Source organism: Homo sapiens, chromosome 7 (assembly GCF_000001405.40).
Source record: "Homo sapiens chromosome 7, GRCh38.p14 Primary Assembly".
Lineage (NCBI taxonomy): Eukaryota > Metazoa > Chordata > Mammalia > Primates > Hominidae > Homo > Homo sapiens.
Genome location: NC_000007.14, coordinates 75,322,074 through 75,335,342, shown reverse-complemented (window position 1 = coordinate 75,335,342; position 13,269 = coordinate 75,322,074). Strand labels below are relative to the sequence as shown.

Here is a 13,269-nt window from a genome sequence, read left to right as displayed (position 1 = left end):
AGGAAGCTCTGCTTTTCTGGAGTTCAAATTTGCATTCATGACGCTTTAAACCGTCAGAGCTGGGTGTGTCCTCCTACAACAAATCACTTTACTCTCTCTCCTAGTTAACAGGCTTTCAAATATTAGAACATCCATGTTCTGACCTCATTAAAATTGCTCTTTTGTGGAATGAAAAGCTCTGATTTAACCCGTCTTTAAGCCTGGTATGCATATTCCTCTCTGTTCCGGCCACCTTGTCTAGACACACTACACTGAGGCAGTGCCCATCTTAGATGATGTTGATACATTGTCAAAAAATGGGCAAACCAGGTGCGGCGGCTCACACTTGTAATCCCAGCACTTTTGGAAGCTGATGCCGACAGATAACCAGAGGTGAGGAGGTTGAGATCAGCCTGGCCAACATGGTGAAACCTGTCTGTTTTTCTGTAAAAATACAGAAACAATGAGCTGGGCGTGGGAGTGCACTTCTGTAATCCCAGCTACTTGTGGGGCTGAGGCAGGAGAATCACTTGAACCGGGAAGGTGGAGGTTCCAGTGAGCCGAGATCACGACACTACACTCCAGCCTGGGCGACAGAGTGAGACTCCGACTCAAAAAAAAAAAAAAAAAAAAAAGTGCCAGACAGCCCAGGTTTGGTCTGATATGTTCAGAAAAAAGCAAAACAGTCACCTCTCACCTTTTCTTTTCCTGCAATGATGCCGTTTAATACAACAATGGCTGTAGGTCTGCGGCAGAAATATCATTCAAGTGAAACAGAAGGGCTTTCCTGGCTGGACACAGTGGTCACTCCTGCAATCCCAACACTTTGGTTGGCTAAGGTGGGAGGATTTCTTGCGGCCAGGAGTTCGAGGCTGCAGTGAGCTGTGATCCACCACTGCATTCCAGGCTGGGCATCAGAGTGAGGCCTGTCTCTAAAAAAACCCTTCACTCCCCAAAAAAAGGGATTTTCAAATACCAGCCTTTCAGCATGAGGATCACATGGAGGAACATTAAGACACAGATGCTGGGACCCAGCCCTATTGATTGTAATTAAAAAACTGAGGTGAGGCCTGATTTAGCTCCATCATTGGAATCCATTCAGATTTGAAATTCTCTGAGTTGGGCAGTGCAAGAGAGATCCTAAAGAAAGCAAAGTCACTGTGGACTGAAATGAGCTGGCAAGGTTTTCTGAGCGTGGTGAAATATGATCTGGGCCTCGCTTGGGAGGGCTGTGGCCAGGCCTTGAGTCCGTGGCTCAGTGGGACCTTCTGAAACAGCCTCCAATCCGTGCCCCCACTTCATTTGCTAGTGGATGACCCCCTCCAGCGGCTTTGGTGCTGATGGGAATAAGTCAACCTGCAGCGGAAGTTCAGCCCAAGTTTCAGCCCAGCAGCTTCTACACACCTGTCCGTGGTCTGGTCATGCTGCCATCTCTGCGGTTCTCTGCGGTTCTCTGCGGAGTCGTGGTTTCTGTACCTTGAAGAGAACTTCCCCTCTGGGACCCAGAAACCCAGTGAATCCTCAGGAAAAAAGGGAATGAAATTACTGAAGACAACTCTGTGGCGGGGAGATGGAAAAGAGGCTCTCTCTCTTTTTTTTTCCTAATATTTTGAGACAGAGTTTCGCTCTTGTCACCCAGGCTGCAGTGCAGTGGCTCCATCTCGGCTCACTGCAACCTCTGCCTCCCAGGTTCAAGCGATTCTCCTGCCTCAGCCTCCCGAGTAGCTGAGATTACAGGCACCCACCACCACTCCCGGCTAATTTTTGTATTTTAGGGTTTCGTCATGTTTGCCAGGCTGGTCTTGAACACCTGACTTCAAATGATCCACCCGCCTCTGCCTCTCAAAGTGCTGGGAATACAGGCATAAGACACTGCACCCGGCCTGTTTTTGTTTTTTAGAGACAAGGTCTCTGTTGCCTTGGCTGGGGTGCAGTGGTACAATCAGCTCTCTGTTGCCTCCTGGGCTCAAGCAATCCTCTTCTCTCAGCCTCCCAAGTAGCTGAGACTACAGGTGCATGCCTGTAGTAGATATAGCATCTTGCTCTGTTGCCCAGACTGGTCTTGAACTCTTGGTCACAAGCGATCCTCTTGCCTTGGCCTCTCAAAGTGCTGGAATTACACGCGTGAGCCATTGAGCCCAACCAGATAAGATGATCTTTAAGGGCCCTTCCCATGGCACCATAATCCAAGTCAGCGAGACTGTGGCTATAGCAAGTTTAACATAACCAGATACGCTAGTATTATGGGCTGCATGGTGTGCCCCCCACCCCTAATTCATGTATTGAAGCCATGACCCTCCAGACCTTAGAGGTGACCTTATTGGAACCAGAGTCTTTACAGAGGTGATCAAGTTAAAATGAGGTCACTAGAGGCCAGGCACGGTGGCTCACACCTGTAATGCCAGCACTTCGGGAGGCCGAGGCAGGCAGATAATGAGCCCAAGAGACCGAGACCATGATGTCCAACATGGTGAAACCCTGTCTCTACTAAAAATACAAAAATTAGCCAGGCGTGGTGGTGTGGGCCTGTAGTCCCAGCTACTCAGGAGGCTGAGGCAAGAGAATCGCTTGAACCCGGAAGGCAGAGATTGCAGTCAGCCAAGATCATGCCACTACACTCCAGCCTGGGTGACAGAGTGAGACTCTATCTCAAAAAAATAAAAATTAAAAAACTAAAAACCTACAGTACCGCCTTTTACATAATGCAATGGTTTGGTAAGCACATGCACCCCAGGGAGGTAGTGGCAGATTCAGTCAACCTTCCCAGCAGCGTGGAGACGCAGTCAGGCATAGCAGGTGTTGATGTGGTTTGAACCCACAGCTTGGCTCAAATCCACACTCCCCTACTTAATACCGAGTGAAGCCACTTACCCTCTAAGTGCCTTACTTTTCTTTTCTTTTTTCTTTTTTCGAGACAGAGTCTCGCTCTGTCACCCAGGCTGGAGTGCAGTGGCATGATCTTGGCTCACTGCAAACTTCGCCTTCCAGGTTCAAGCAATTCTCCTGCCTCAGCCTCCCAAGTAGCTGGGATTACAGGCGCCCACCACCATGCCGGGCTAATATTTGTATTTTTGATAGAGATGGGGTTTCACCATATTGCCCAGGCTGGTCTCGAACTCCTGACCTCAAGTGATCTGTCTGCCTCGGCCTCCCAAAGTACTAGGATTAGAGGCATGAGCCACCACACCTGGCCACTTTTCTTATCTATATTTGTTATGTGGATGACTTGTGTTAACGCAAATAAGATGCTGCTCGTCATCTTTAAAGAAAATAGGTGGCAACCTGTTATAGCAAGTCCTGTTTTTATTTGTACTTATGAGGCTTTAGTTAAACGCTAAGAATTAAAATGCACATAATAATAGACTTTACCTCACAAACTGGCTTCAATTATTCGATGAGACTTATATGTATTACTTAAATGAGGTTAAATTTAACCTTTAAAAAATGATTTATTGTGGCTGGGCACAGTGGCTCACACCTGTAATCCCAGCACTTTGGGAGGCCAAGGCAGACGGATCACTTGAGGCCAGGAGTTGAAGACCAGCCTGACCAACACGGCGAAACCCCATCTCCGCTAAAAATACAAAAATTAGCCAGGCATGGTGGTGCACACCTGTAATCCTAGCTACTCAGGAGGCTGAGACACAAGAATCGCTTGAACCCGGGAGGCAGAGGTTGCAAGGAGGTGAGATCACACCACTGCACTCCAGCCTGGGCAATAGAGTGAGGCTCTGCCTTAAAACAAAGAAAAATGATTTTGGGGGATGATGGGGTGTCACTATGTTGACCAGGCTTGTCTCAAACTCCTTGCCTCAAGCAATCCACCCACCTCAGCCTCCCAAGTAGCTGGAACTACAGGCGCATGCCACCACGCCTGGCTAATTGTGTGTGTGTGTGTGTGTGTGTGTGTGTGTGTGTGTGTAGAAACAAGGTCTTACTGTGTTGTTTAAGCTGCTCTCAAACTCCTGGGCTCAAGTGATCCTCCCACCTCGGCCTCCCAAAGCATTGGAATTACAGGTGTGAGCCACCTCACTGAGCCCTCCACCTTTCAGCTGAACGCAGAAAAGTACAATCTTTTAACCCAAAGCGTTCCTCACACTTAGGGTCAGGAAGAGCCCTTCATGCCCTGGAGGCAACTACTAACCCTCTGCTAAACACTCTGACTCTGGGTGTGAGAAACACACCTACTGTGCCCCACATATTTTTCCAAATACAACTTAATTTAGCCTTCACGACAACCCTGGAGTGAAGGATCATTAACTTTATTTCATAGATGTGGAAACTGAGACTCAGAGGCAGGAAATGACCTCCTTCTGGAGGCTGCAAATTCTTTGATGCTCCTTTGATCAACAGGTGGGAGCTGGCCAGAGGTGGTGGCTCACACCTATAATCCCAGCACTTTGGGAGGCCAAGGTGGGAGGATTGACTGAGGCCAGGAGTTTGAAACTAGCCTGGGCAACATAGCAAGACCTCATCTCTACAAAAAATACACAAATTAGCAGGGTGTGCTGGTGCACACCTGTAGTCGCAGCCACTCGGGAGGCTGAAGTGGTAGCATTGCTTGAGCCCAGGAGGTTGAGGCTGGAGTGAGCCATGATCAAGCCACTGCACTCCAGCCGAGGAGATGGAGATAGACCCTGTCTCAAACAACAACAAAAAAATAGGTGAGGATCAGCCAGGCATGGTGGCTCACGCCTGTAATCCTAGAACTTTGGGAGGCCAAGGTGGGAGGATTGCTTGAGGCCAGGACTTCAAGACCAGCCTGGGCAGCCTAGCAAGATCCCATCCCTTAAAAAAAAGTTTTTAGGCTGGGCATGGTCACTCATGCCTGTAATCCTAGCACTTTGGGAGGCCAAGGCAGGCGGGTTGCCTGAGCTGAGGAGTTTGAGACCAGCCTGGGCAACATGGTGAAATCCTGTCTCTACTAAAATACAAAAAATTAGCCAGGTGTGGTGTTGGGCACCTGTAATCCCAGGTACTCAGGAGGCTGAGGCAGGAGAATTGCTTGAACCCAGGAGGCAGAGGTTGCAGTGAGCCGAGAGCGCACCACTCCACTCCAGCCTGGACAACAGAGCGAGACTCCGTCTCAACAAAAAAAATGTTTTTAATTAGCCAGCTGTGATGATGCATGCCCATGTCCCAGCTACTTGGGAGGCTGAAGCAGGAGGATTGCTTGAGCCTGGGAGGTCAAGGCTGCAGTGAGCTATGATTGCGCCCCTGCACTCCAGCCTGGACAGCGGAGGGAGACCCTGTCTGAAAATAAAAAAAGAGGTGGGGGCCTATGACCCCCCCTTTAATTTTGGCCCAACCTTAGTAACAGGATAGTCATTGAGTAGGGCAAAAGTGATGTTATGATGTTTTTCAGCCTCCAATTTACAGTCTAAAACATGTCTTGGGTAAACACAGCAAGACTCCATCTCAAAAAAAAAAAAGAAAAAAAATCAGAAGTGAACCTGTAGCCTGTAGTGTGTTGCCAAATAAACTTATTTTTAGAGATACTTCTTTCCATTTTCTGTGAGGTCATCTGCAGTTTCACATGGTAGACAGACTTAGGTGAGATTCTTAGCAACATAGAATGAAGAGTAAAGAGGTTTGTTTATTTCACAAGGGTTTATTGAAGGCCTACGATGTGTTAAATGCTGTAGGAAATACCCACTGATTTCTCTTTTCATGGAGGTTTCCCGCCTTCTCTTAACGAGTGATCAATTAAACTGTTTACTGGGAACTTGCTAAGTTAATGAACACACGGGATACATTCTTTGGATGAGCAGACATTGGTTGGGCAGAGGGGCAAGAGGAGAGCAGTTTAGACAGAGACCTGCTTATACACTGTAGTGTCTAAGAGAGCTTGTGATGTTCAGGAAACAGTTGTTCACTGTGCTGCAATATAGGGGACGGCCAGTTGCGGTGGCTCACACCTGTAATCCTAGTGCTTTGGAAGGCCAAGGCGGGCAGATCACCTGAGGTCAGGAGTTAGAAACCAGCCTGGCCAACATGGTGAAACCCCATCTCTACTAAAAACACAAAAATTAGCTGAGTGTAATGGTGGATGCCTATAATCCCAGCAACTTGGGAGGCTGAGACAGGAGAATCACTTGAACTTGGGAGGTGGAGGTTGCAGTGAGCCGAGATCATGCCATTGCACTCTAGCCCAGGTGACAGGGTGAGACTCTGTCTCAAATAATAATAATAATAATAATAATAATAATAATAATAATAATAATAATAATGTAGGGGACTTGATGAAGGGAAAGGATCAGAGAGATTCTGAAAAGAAGGTAGTTTGGGGCCCAGTGATGACTAGATTTTAAGTTTCATATAGTAGGAAGTGGGGCACTAGTAATTTTTCAAGCAGAAAAATTATTTGACCAGATTCGTGATTTCAAAAATAGCTCTGGTGATAGAGTGGAGGATGGGTTGGAGCAGGGAATAAGGGGAAATGAAACCGTTATAAAACTCTTAAAGTGGGCTGGGCATGGTGGCTCACGCCTGTAATCCCAGCACTTTGGGAGGCTGAGGCGGGCGGATCACGAAGTCAGGAGATCGAGACCATCCTGGCTAAAACGGTGGAACCCTGTCTCTACTAAAAATACAAAAAATTAGCTGGGCATGGTGGTGGGCGCCTGTAGTCCCAGCCACTCAGGAGGCTGAGGCAGGAGAATGGTGTGAACCCGGGAGGCAGAGCTTGCAGTGAGCTAAGATCGTGCCACTGCACTCCAGCCTGGGCGACAGGGCGACAGAGCAAGAATCCGTCTCAAAAAAAAAAAAAAAAAAAAAAACCTCTTAAAACAAGTACAGCAAGAACTTTGAGGGTCTTTGCTAAGACAGCAGCTGGCAGCTTCAATTTGGAGTAGGGTATCAAAGGCAACTGTGTATAAGGAATAGTTATATAACTGGTATCCAATTTCTGAGATGATTTTGACTTAAACATTGTGTATTTCCCAGCATACTGTTGGTTTTTCTAATTATGTGGGAAATTATGTTGCTTTTACTTTTTTTTTTTGCTCATTGCCCAGCCTAGGGTGCAATGCTGCAATCTCAGCTCACTGCAACCTCCGCCTCCCAGGTTTAAGTGATTCTTCTGCCTCAGCCTCCCAAGTAGCTGGGATTACAGGCGCCCACCACCATGCCTGGCTAATTTTTTGTATTTTTGGTAGAGACAGGGTTTCACGACGTTGGCCAGGCTGGTCTCAAACTCCTGATCTCAAGTGATCCACCTGCCTCTGTGTCCCAAATTGCTGGGATTACAGGCATGAGCCACCGCACCGGCCATGCTTTCAGTTTTCAAGAAAGAAGACACCATTATTGCCAAAGATTTTGGTAATTTGAGAGATACAATGTATGTTTTCTCCATGTGGATACTAGATAGTAAGGATGTGTTGAATTTGAAGTGTCTATCCAGAAGTATTTTGGGTACTTGTTTAAGGATTGTAAAACAATGTTTCCATTTCTGGATATAATAAATGTATTTGTTAATATAATAAATGAATAGATTAGACCCATAAACTATTTGCAGTGTTGAGTCATTTCCCACAGTTAAAATCAGGATGAAAATATATAGCTGAATACTTGCTTTGTTTCTTGTAACTGATTTCTTTAGTACAGAACCTGCTAAGGCCATCAAACCTATTGATCGGAAGTCAGTCCATCAGATTTGCTCTGGGCCGGTGGTACTGAGTCTAAGCACTGCGGTGAAGAAGATAGTAGGAAACAGTCTGGATGCTGGTGCCACTAATATTGGTAAGTTTGGGAGAGTTTTAAGCCACAAGAAATGATCAGTGAATGTTGTTGTAGTCAAGAAACATTTGTTATTGAAATAAGACTATCAAGTGTTGATGTAGTAATAAACTATTATTTTTAAGTTAAAGTTAGCACCTATTATGTGCCTAGTACTTAGCTAGGTAGTAATAATAATAACGACAGCTTTTCTTGTGTTCTTATGGTGTGCCAGGCAGGTGTTATGCTAAGAATTGCACAGAAATATCTCATTTAATTTGCAGAATAGCTGGGCGTGGTGTCTGACGCCTGTAATCCTAGCCCTTTGAGAGGCTGAGGTGGGGGGATTGCTTGAAGCCAAGAGTTCAAGACCAACCTGGCCAACATGGGGAGACCTCGTCTCTATTAAAAAATAAAGCAGGCCGGGTGTGGTGGCTCACGCCTGTAATCCCAGCACTTTGGGAGGCCAAGGCGGGTGGATACCTGAGGTCAGGAATTCGAGACCAGCCTGTCCAAAATGGTGAAACTCTGTCTCTACTAAAAATACAAAAATTAGCCAGACCTGGTGGCAGAAGCCTGTAATCCCAGCTACTGGGGAGGCTCAGGAATGAGAATTGTTTAAATTTGGGAGGTGGAGGTTGCAGTGAACCGAGATTGTGCCACTGCACGCCAGCCTGGGGACAGAGCAAGACTCTGTCTCAAAAAAATAAAATAAAATAAAATAAAATAAATCCTGGAGTAGTGGCTCACATCTGTAATCCCAGCACTTTGGGAGGCTGAGGGGGGCTGATGCTTTGAGGTCAGGAGTTCAAGACCAGCCTAACCAACGTGGTAAAACCCTGTCTCTACTAAAAATACAAAAATTAGCCAGATGTGATGGTGCATGGCTGTAATCTCAGCTCCTCAGAAGGCTGAGGGAGGAGAATTGCTTAAACCTGGGAGGTGGAGGTTGCAGTGAGCCAAGATCGATTGTGCCACTGCATTCCAGCCTGGGTGACAAGAGCAAAAGTCCATCTCAAAAAATTAAAAAAAAAAAAAAAAAAAGGAAAGAAAAAAAAGAAAATGACAAAATTAAAAAAAAATTATTAATCTGCCAAATAACTTTATGAGATAGAACTTATTACCTCCATTTTACAGTTGAGGAAATTAAGGGACAGTAAATTTCCTTTTTTTGAGATTATAAAGCTAATAAAATAGAATCTAGGAAGTCTGATTCCAGAACCAGTTCTGTTTTTTTTTTCTTTTTTTTTTTTTTTGAGATAGAGTTTTGCTCTTGTTGCCGAGGCTGCGGTGCAATGGCACGATCATCAACTCACTGCAACCTCCACCTCCCAGGTTCAAGCGATTCTCCTGCCTCAGCCTCACAAGTAGCTGGGATTACAGGCATGCACCACCACGCCTGGCTAATTTTGTATTTTTAGTAGAGATAGAGTTTCTCTACGTTGGTCAGGCTGGTCTCGAACTACTGACCTCAGGTGATCCGCTCGCTTTGGTCTCCCAAAGTGCTGGGATTACAGGCATGAACCACTGCGCCCGGCCCCCGTTCTCCTTACTGGGTATGTTAAAATTATTTCTTTCAAAGGAAAAGGCTGGTCAAAGTGCAACGGTCTTTACAACTAATTGATCACAACCAGTTACAGATTTTTTTGTTCCTTCTCCACTCCAACTGCTTCACTTGACTAGTGTAAGGAAAAAAAAAAAAAAAAGAGGAAAGAAAGAAAATGCTAAACTATTTAATCTGGGCTAGTAAATGGCCAGAAAGAACTTTATAAAAATGAAATATACAAAATGACACTAGTATGTTTAACTAAAGGTATAGTTACGACACTTAAATTTGCACGTTATAAATAATATCAATATAAAAACTGATAGCGTGGGTCCATTTTTAATAAATATATAAATATTTTAAACTTTCTAGATCTAAAGCTTAAGGACTATGGAATGGATCTCATTGAAGTTTCAGGCAATGGATGTGGGGTAGAAGAAGAAAACTTCGAAGGCTTAAGTAAGTTAACTTTCTAATCCTATTACAAAATAATTGGGCCACATGTCTTAGAATTTTGAGTAACACTGTCTTGGGAAACACAAAAACAGTTTTTTAAAGCCAGTTACTAGATATCATGTATATTTGTTGTTATAGCACTTGAGATATCTTAGTCCTTACTTTACAGTCTCTTTCAGCTCTGAAACATCACACATCTAAGATTCAAGAGTTTGCCGACCTAACTCGGGTTGAAACTTTTGGCTTTCGGGGGAAAGCTCTGAGCTCACTTTGTGCACTGAGGTGAGAAAATATTTTTATCCATTCACTTGACCCCTTAGAAAAACCTCTCTGAAAATTAATTGGAATCATTATTATTTACAATTTTCTATCTCAATATCTCAGCTTCTAGCTTCTGAATTCTGTTTTGTCTCACTGCCAATCTAAGTCCTAGTACTTCTGAAATGTGAGCAATAAATGAATGAAATGAAGCAAATAGTATTGTTTAAAAAATTGGTTACCCTTATTAAAACAGTAACTTCTCAATTTGAACATAACATATAGATAATAAATGATAGTTACCATTGGTTTTCATTATCAATTTTTAGGGAAACATTTCACCAAAGCACTATTTAATTACAGCACAGATACTAAATTTTTATAAATAATTACATGCACACACACATATATATACATATATATACATATATACATATATATACATATATATACATATATACATATATATATACATATATATACATATATACATATATATACATATATACATATATACATATATACATATATACATATATACATATATACATATATACATATATATACACATATATACATATATATACATATATATATATATATATGTATATATATATATTTTTTTTTTTTTTAGACAGAGTCGCACTCTGTCACCCAGGCTGGAGTGCAGTGGCACAGTCTCAGCTCACTGCAGTCTCTGCCTCCCAGGTTCAAGTGACTTTCGTGACTCAGCCTCCTGAAGAGCTGGGACTATAGCGTGCACCACCACTCCTGGCTAATTTTTGTATTTTTAGTAGAGATGGGGTTTTGCCATGTTGCCCAGGCTGGTCTGGAACTCCAGGCCTCAAGTGATCTGCCCTCCTTGGCCTCCCAAAGTGCTGGAATTACAGGCACGAGCCACCGTACCCTGCCCTACATATACATTTTAATTATAATATCTTTTGGATTCTTTAAAAAAAATTTTAAAAATTTTAAAAAATTCTTTAAAAAAATTCTTTTAAAAAATTTTGTTTGAAGAGTAATAACAAAACAAATCTCTATTTGAGAATCAATAAATCTTGAGATCATTTATGGTTTTGCAATTCAACCTGAAAAATGAAGTCAAAGCTTTTATCAAAACAAAGCATGTTTAGTGCTCTCTGTCTCACTGTCTTTTAGATGCCAGACCTTAGATTTTGTGATGACTCCTCAACCGTTTAGATCTCGGTTATCTCAGAGGGATCATCAGCTTTTTAAGAAAATTTTGAGAGAAAAGCAAGTGAAGAAAAGAGTAGTCAGTGCCCAACATCATGGATCTCTCACTGAACACACCATGCCTGGTATTCTCTCACAGTGATGTCACCATTTCTACCTGCCACGTATCGGCGAAGGTTGGGACTCGACTGGTGTTTTTGATCACGATGGGAAAATCATCCAGAAAACCCCCTACCCCCACCCCAGAGGGACCACAGTCAGCGTGAAGCAGTTATTTTCTACGCTACCTGTGCGCCATAAGGAATTTCAAAGGAATATTAAGAAGGTACAGTAAATTAATCCTGGTTTTCAAGAGTATTGGTTAATGCACATGAGCAAAAGATTTACTAAAGATGTTTATTCTTCAGTTGATTCTCTTCCCATAATTTATTGAGAAATGCTTTATTTGCATTTCTCATTAAAGACTTAACTTCAGGATGATTTACTTTTTTCTTTTTATCACATAATGTTTATTAGGACTGGGAAACATAGTGAGAGTCTGTCTCTATGAAAAATTAAAAAAAAAATTGACTGGGCATGGTGGCATGCACCTGTAGTTCCAGCTACTTGGGAGGCTGAAGTGGGAGGATCACCTGAGCCCAGGAACTTGAGACTGCAGTGAGCTATGATTGCGTCACTACACTTCAGACTGTGAGACAGAGTAAGACCCTGTCTGGAAAAATATATATACATATATATACATTTTTTTTATTTTTTATTTTTATCTTTTTTTGAGATGGAGTCTCACTTTGGCGCCCTGGCTGCAGTGCAGTGGCGCGATCTCAGTTCACTGCAACCTCCACCTGCCAAGTTCAAGCGATTCTCCTGCTTCAGCCTTCTGAGTAGCTACCATTACAGGCGCGCGCCACCACGCCCGGCTAATTTTTGTATTTTCAGTGGAGACGGGGTTCCACCATGTTGTCCAGGCTGGCCAGGCTGGTCTCGAATTCCTGCCCTCAGGTGATCCGCCCACCTCGGCCTCTCAAAGTGCTGGGATTACAGGCGTGAGCCACCATGCCTGACCTTATGTACTTATATTTTTATGAGAATATTTCTCTTGGTTTTCTGATAAATGAGTTACTGGAACCCTTATGAATTTGAATGCAAATGAAACAGCTAAATGTTATATAATTGTTGTGTTTAAAAAGCAGATTATAAAACTGTCTGTATTATATGATTACAGTTTTATAAAAACAAAACAGGCCTAAATGTGTATAGTATAAAGACTGAAGAGTCAGCACTTCCATGTTCTCAGCGGTTATCCTTGGATGTGAGATCTCATGCACTTTTTGCTCTCTTCTTTGTGCCTTTCCATTTTGCATGCGTATTTCTTATAATCTAAAAAGTTACTTAAACATATGCAGCTAAAAACTTTTTTTACTTGTAAAGCGTTTGGTGCTAATTTTAACTTTTTTTTTTAGACGGAGTCTTCTCACTCTGTCGCCCAGGCTGGAGTGCAGTGGTGTGATCTTGGCTCACTGCAACCTCCGCCTCCTGGGTTCAAGTGATTCTCCTACCTCAGCCTCCCAAGTAGCTGGGATTATAGGTGTGTGTCACCACACCCAGCTAATTTTTGTATTTTTAGTAGAGATGGGGTTTCACCATGTTGGCCAGGCTGGTCTTGCACCCCTGACCTCAAGTGATCTGCCCACCTCAGCCTCCCAAAGTGCTGGGATTACAGGCGTGAGCCACCACGCCTGGCTTTTTTTTTTAAAGCTTTTTTGTAAGTCAGCCAGCAAGAACACAGGAGGAAGTACTCAAATCTCCCTTACACAGCTGGGGGCTGTGTCAGGTTTTATAAGCATAGGGTAATGAGGTGTGATTTGATTGGATCTTGCAATAAAGTAATGCTGGGAGGTGTGATCTGACTGGATCCTGCCATGGGGTGACACCAAAACTCAATCTGATTGGATCCTGGCTCCTGCCTGGGGGTGTCTGGTTCTTAAATCGGTCCGGGCTCTTCAGGCTGAGCTCTTAGGTTCCACTCCACGGTGGCACGCGTGGTTAACCTGGGCATGCACAGGGTACATGACCTTCAACCTGCAGGTCGATGGCAATTGGAAAACAACTGACAACTTCAT

General features: G+C 43.7%; 1 pseudogene; it reads left to right on the top strand.

Moving 5' to 3' along the window:
- PMS2P10 (PMS1 homolog 2, mismatch repair system component pseudogene 10) lies at positions 7,567-10,862 on the top strand (annotated as a pseudogene).